A 5,971-nucleotide genomic window follows, 5' to 3' on the forward strand; every position below is an offset into this window, starting at 1 on the left:
GAAAACTACAGGTTTCAACCTAACATCTAAATCTTAAAAAGTAGCACTTCGGCAACAAACAAGCGCAGAGAGCTCACCTGAAAAGTGAAATAACATGACTATTGCTCAGATATCTGAAAAGTCAAGCTGCTGCCCCCAGCTCCGCCCACTCAAAGGCTTAGGCAGACACCTAGGGTGGCGGCGGCTCCTTGGCAGCACCTAGGGTGGCGGCGGCTCCTTGGCAGCACCATTCACAGTGGTATCATCATACCGGGGTAGGAGCACCTTAGTGTCATTGCTGGTAACATAAACCAGGACATCGGAGGAGTTCCTGCCGTTCATCTATCTGCAGCAGTTCCAAACACAGCTAATCAAGTAACCCTTAAAAGTTAAGATAATGCTAATAAACAGAAGAATAATAAGGACCAAACAGGTGGATTCACTGACATGACATCATCTCTGTAGGGAAAATTAGGAGGCAGTTGTCGTATGTATTCCTGAATGGAGTTTGGATAAACAAGCACAGTGATTGCAACCAAGGTGTTCAGAGCAAAATCAAAGATCTGGTAACAGGGCCAGGTGCGGTGGCTCACGCTTGTAATCCCAGCACTTTGGGAGGCCGAAGGGGGTGGATCAGGAGGTCAGGAGATGGAGACCACGGTGAAACCCCGTCTCTACTAAAAATACAAAAAATTAGCCGGGCGTGGTGGCTGGCGCCTGTAGTCCCAGTTACTCGGAGAGGCTGAGGCAGGAGAATGGCGTGAACCCGGGAGGTGGAGCTTGCAATGAACTGAGATCGCACCACTGCACTCCAGCCCGGGCGACAGAGCGAGACTCCGTCTCGGAAAAAAAAAAAAATCTGGTAACAGAAGAATGGGATGATCCAGAATGCGTGTTGCCTGTATGCTTCGTAATTAGCCTTAATTACGTAATTAGCCTTAATTCTCATGATATCAGTATCATGAGAAGAGAAATCGCAATGGCAATGCACGTATTGGCGTCATCCATGAACTCAAAATCACCTCCCAGTTCAGAACTTGAAAAGTGATACTGATCCGGATCAGCCAGGGCACTCAACAAAATCAGGAGTACCACGGCGTTGATGATCAGGTACCAGACACCTAACAGGATGGTGCTGGTGCGGACATGGAGGCACAGGCAGCAGCTGTTGGAGTAGAACCGCATCCAGGGTGCGACCAGGGCGTGACCATCGTCATTGCTCCTGGAGCAGAGGCGCGAGGACGAGCCCAAGTTTCCAGGAGCGTTGACCTCCTCGCCCAGACTCCGCCACGCGGCTGCTGCAGACTCCTCGGCTGCTCCGGCTTCCGGCCCGCTCACCGGTGTGCCCGCCAGCCTCGCTCCTCTATCCTCCCAAGAGGGAATTTTATAGCGCTAAATGCCTATATCAAGCGGGGTGGGAGGAGGGGGGAGAGATAGCATTAGGAGATATACCTAATGTAAATGACGAGTTAATGGGTGCAGCACACCAACATGGCACATGTATACATATGTAACAAACCTGCACATTGTGCACATGTACCCTAGAACTTAAAGTATAATAAAAAATATATATATATAAAGAAGATATTAATAGAAAGATCTCAAATTAACAACCCAACCTCCACCTAAAGTAATTAGAAAAACAAGAACAACTAAGCTCAAAGCTAGCAGAAGAAAAGAAGTAACTAAAATAAGAGCAGAACTAAGTGAATTGAGACCCAAAAAGCCATACAAAGGATCAGTGAAAGGAAAACTTGCTTTTTTGAAAGGATAAACAAGATTGATAGACCATTAGCTAGATTAACAAAGAAAACGAGAGAAGATCGAAATAAACACAATCAGAAATGACAAAGGTGACATTACAACCGATTCCACAGAAATACAAGAGATCCTCAGAGATATGAACCTCTCTATGAGTACAAACTAGAAAATCTAGAGGAAATCAATACATTCCTGGAAACACAACCTCCCAAGACTGAGTCAAGAAGAAATAGAATTTCTGAACAGACCAATAACAAGTAATGAAAATAAATCAGTAATAAAACACCTACCAACAATAGCAACAACAAAAAACCCTGTATCAGACGGATTCATAGTCAAATTCTACTAGATCTACAAAGAAGACCTGGTATCAATCCTAAAGAAACTATTACAAAAAATCAAGGAGGGACTCCTCCCTAACTCATTCTATGAAACCAATATCCTCATGACACCAAAATTTGGCAAAGGCACAACAAAAAAAGAAAACTACAGACCAATATCCCTGATGAGCATAGACATAAAACTCTTCAACAAAATACTAGAAAACCAAATACAGCAGCATATCAAAAAGTTGATTTCCCAAATAAGTGGGCTTTATTCCTGGAATGCAGGGATGGTTCAACATATGCAAATAAATACATGTGATTCACCACATAAACAGAATTAAAAACAAAAACTATATGATCATCTCAATCAATGCAGAAAAGCATTCAATAAAAATTCAACATTTCTTCATGATGAAAGCTCTCAATAAAATAGACATCAAAGAAACATACCTCAAAATAATAAGAGCCATCTATGACAAACCCACAGTTGACATCATACTGAATAAGCATAAGTTAGGTGCATTCTGCCTAAGAACTGGAACAAGACAAGGATGTCTACTCTCACTATTCCTATTCAACATAGTACTGAAAGTCCTAGCCAGAGCAATTAGACATGAGAAAGAGATAAAAGGAACCCAAATTGAAAAAGAGCGAATTACTTCTTTTCACTGACAATATGATTCTATGTCCAGAAAACTCTAAAGATTCTTCCAAAAGACTCCTAGACCTGATAAACAACTTCAGCAAATCTCAGAAAACAAAATCAACATAGAAAAATCAGTAGCATTTCTATACACCAATAATATTCAAGCTGAGAACCAAATCAAAGATGCAATTCCATTTACAACAGCCACACACAAAAAATAAAATACCTAAGAAAATATCTAACCAGCAAAGTGAAAGACCTCTACAAAAAGAACTACAAAACACTGCTACAAGAAATCATAGATGACACAAACAAATGAAAAAGCATGCCATGCTCATGGATTGGAAGAATTGATATAGTTAATAAGTCCACATTGCCCAAAGCAATCTATAGATTCAATGCTATTCCTATCAAATTACCAAGGTCATTTTTCACACAACTTTACAAAACTCGTCTAAAATTCATATAGAAGCAAAAAGAGCACAAATAGCCAAAGCAATCTTAAGCAAAAAAGAATATAACCAGAGGTACCACATTACCCAATTTCAAACTACACTACAAGTCTACAGTAACCAAAACAGCATGGTATTGGTACAAAAATAGACACATAGACCAATGGAACAGCATGGAGACCACTGAAATAAAACCACATACCTACAACCAACTGACCTTGAACAAGGCTGGCAAAAATAAACAATGGGGAAAGGAAATCTTATTCAATAAATGGTGCTGGGGAAACTGGCTAACCATATGCAGAAGAATGAAACTGGACCCTTACCTCTCACCACATACAAAAATTAACTCAAGATGGATTAAAGACTTAAATGTTAAGACCTTAAACTATTAAAATCCTGGAAGAAAACCTAGGAAATACTCTTCTAGACATGTTCTAGGCAAAGAATTTATGGTTAAGTCCTCAAACGCAATGCAACAAAAACGAAAACTGATATGGGACCTAATTAAACTAAAAAGCTTCCACGCAGTGAAAGAAACTAATAACAGAGTAAACAGACAATCTACAGAATGGGAGGCAATATTCACAAACTATGCATCTGACAAAGGGCTAATACCCAGAATCTATAAGGAACTCAAACAACTTAACAAGAAGAAAACAAATAACCCCATTAAAAAGTGGGCATAGAACATGAACAGACATTTCTCAAAAAGAAACACAAGTAGCCAACAAACATGCAAAAACTAATCATCAGAGAGATGTGAATCAAAACCACAAGAAATATCATCTCACATCAGTCAGGATGACTATTATTTAAAAGTCAAAAAAATAACAGTTGTTGGCAAGGTTGGAGAGAAAAAGGAATGATTATATACTGTTGGTAGAATGCAAATTAGTTCAGCATTTTGGAGATTTCTCAAAGAACTAAAAATAGAATTGCCATTCAACCCATCAATCCCGTTACTGAGTATATACCCAAAGGAAAAGACACCTGCACTAGTATGTTTATCAAAGCACTATTCACATTAGCAAAGACATGGAATCTACCCAGGTACCTATCAATGGTGGGTTGGATAAAGAAAATGTAGTACATATATGTCATATATGTCAATACTATGAAGCATAAAAAAGAACACTATCATGTCCTTTGCAGCAACATGGATGCACCTGGAGGCCATTACGCTAAGTGAATTAATGTAGAAACAGAAAACCAAATACCAGAATTTCTCACTTATATGTGAGAGCTAAACACTGAGTACACACAGACAAAAAGATGGGAGTGGTAGACACTGGGGATTCCAAAAGGAGGGAGGGCAGGAGGGGCACCAGGGTTGAAAAGTTACCTAACAGGTACTATGTTCACTATTTGGGCAATGAGATCATTCGCAGCCCAAGCCTCAGCATCATGCAATATACCCATGTAACAAACCTGCACATGTATATCCTGAATCTAAAATAATTTTTTTTTTTTACAAAAAGGCCAAAGAAGGATCCTTCAGATGGCCTCACTGTTTGAAACCAACGGGCTGGGTCTGCCTGTGGATCCCTTCCCCTGTGTCTGTACAATCCCTGAGGTGTTTACTCAGGTACAGCAGGAGGTGTTGGCAACAACCAAAGGCCACTCTGCTCTGCCAGCAGATGATCAGAGGCTGTTCAGGTGTTCATCACCAGCTTAGTTAATGCATTCAGTGAGTCTCACTGGTCCTAAATAGTCCAGGTGGTAGCATTAGTTGTCACTGACGTAGTCAATGACAAGTTGGGTACCATTTTTCCCAGGGCATGTACACCTATGCCAAGTAGGAGGACACAGACAGCAAAATGGAATCAGCTATCAGAATGCCTTCCTGGCAGAGTATGTCAGGCAACCTTGCAATGTCAGAAGCCCTTCCAGCTTACGGTGTCATTTTGCACAAACACTTGAGGACCCCAAATTCCAAAACAGCATGCTCTATCTAAGGGTGACAGGTATTCTGCAGTATATCCCACAAAGGAATATACTAGCCAGGGGAGCACGTGTAACTCCGGTCAGGGAACTGTCACTATAAAAGTCTCTAGTTGAAGTGTACAAAGCCTGTGTCAGATTTAGCCATGAGTTACATGGCAAGGTAAACTGCATGATGAGCCTGCTTTCCCATACCATTGACCATGTTTAAAATCTGTCTGATTTTATGTCTATGTTCTAGGTAACCTGCATTGAGGCCATCACTCTCCAATCAGAACCACCGATGGCTGTTGGGGCCCCATTCAAATTGGCAACAGGCCACAGATTGACTATTCCAGCATGGAGATGCCCTGAGTACATGGGTGGCTGATTCAGCAGTGTTTTAGATCACAGGGGAATTTCCAAATCTAAGACTGGAAGGAAAGCTCCTCCGCCCAGGGAAGAAGACAGAATTGTTACTGGGGCAACCCCTAAGAGTTTAGGGCAATCAAAATGCCCAATCCTCTTGCTCTATACATAGGGAGATTATCTTTGCCTAGAGGATTGCTCACACCAGGAAAAAACTACCAGTCCTTCAGGCCCTGAGGTGTGCCAGGTAAAGTCCTGGGCAAGGAAAAGTGGCCCAAGAAAGAAGCTCATCTGGTACCTCCTCTCCCTACTCCTCACTCTGGACAGCAGAGACCCTATAGGGGATGAGGAGAAAGAGGCCAGGCAGGCAGGCGAGGAATGGCTGTCCCATCCACACCCAGGGTGGAAAACGGCTACAAGAGAGCACCTTCATGTTTTAATTAGGGTCTCTTTCTTGGAGACAGTAGAGATCTGATTCTACCTCTGCCACTTGCCAGATTCATAAGCTTTGTCAA

General features: G+C 41.6%; 1 pseudogene, besides 1 other annotated feature; it reads right to left on the reverse strand.

Moving 5' to 3' along the window:
- LAPTM4BP1 (lysosomal protein transmembrane 4 beta pseudogene 1) lies at positions 1 to 1,357 on the reverse strand (annotated as a pseudogene).
- Positions 766 to 936: a silencer, noted in NCBI's record as "fragment chr1:153352860-153353030 (GRCh37/hg19 assembly coordinates)". NCBI's record gives its function as "represses an EF-1alpha promoter that drives an FKBP-Casp9 reporter gene in an ReSE screen in K562 erythroleukemia cells {active_cell/tissue: K562}" and the evidence as "EXISTENCE:reporter gene assay evidence [ECO:0000049][PMID:32094911]".

This window comes from Homo sapiens, chromosome 1, assembly GCF_000001405.40.
Source record: "Homo sapiens chromosome 1, GRCh38.p14 Primary Assembly".
In the NCBI taxonomy this organism is placed as follows: Eukaryota; Metazoa; Chordata; class Mammalia; order Primates; family Hominidae; genus Homo; species Homo sapiens.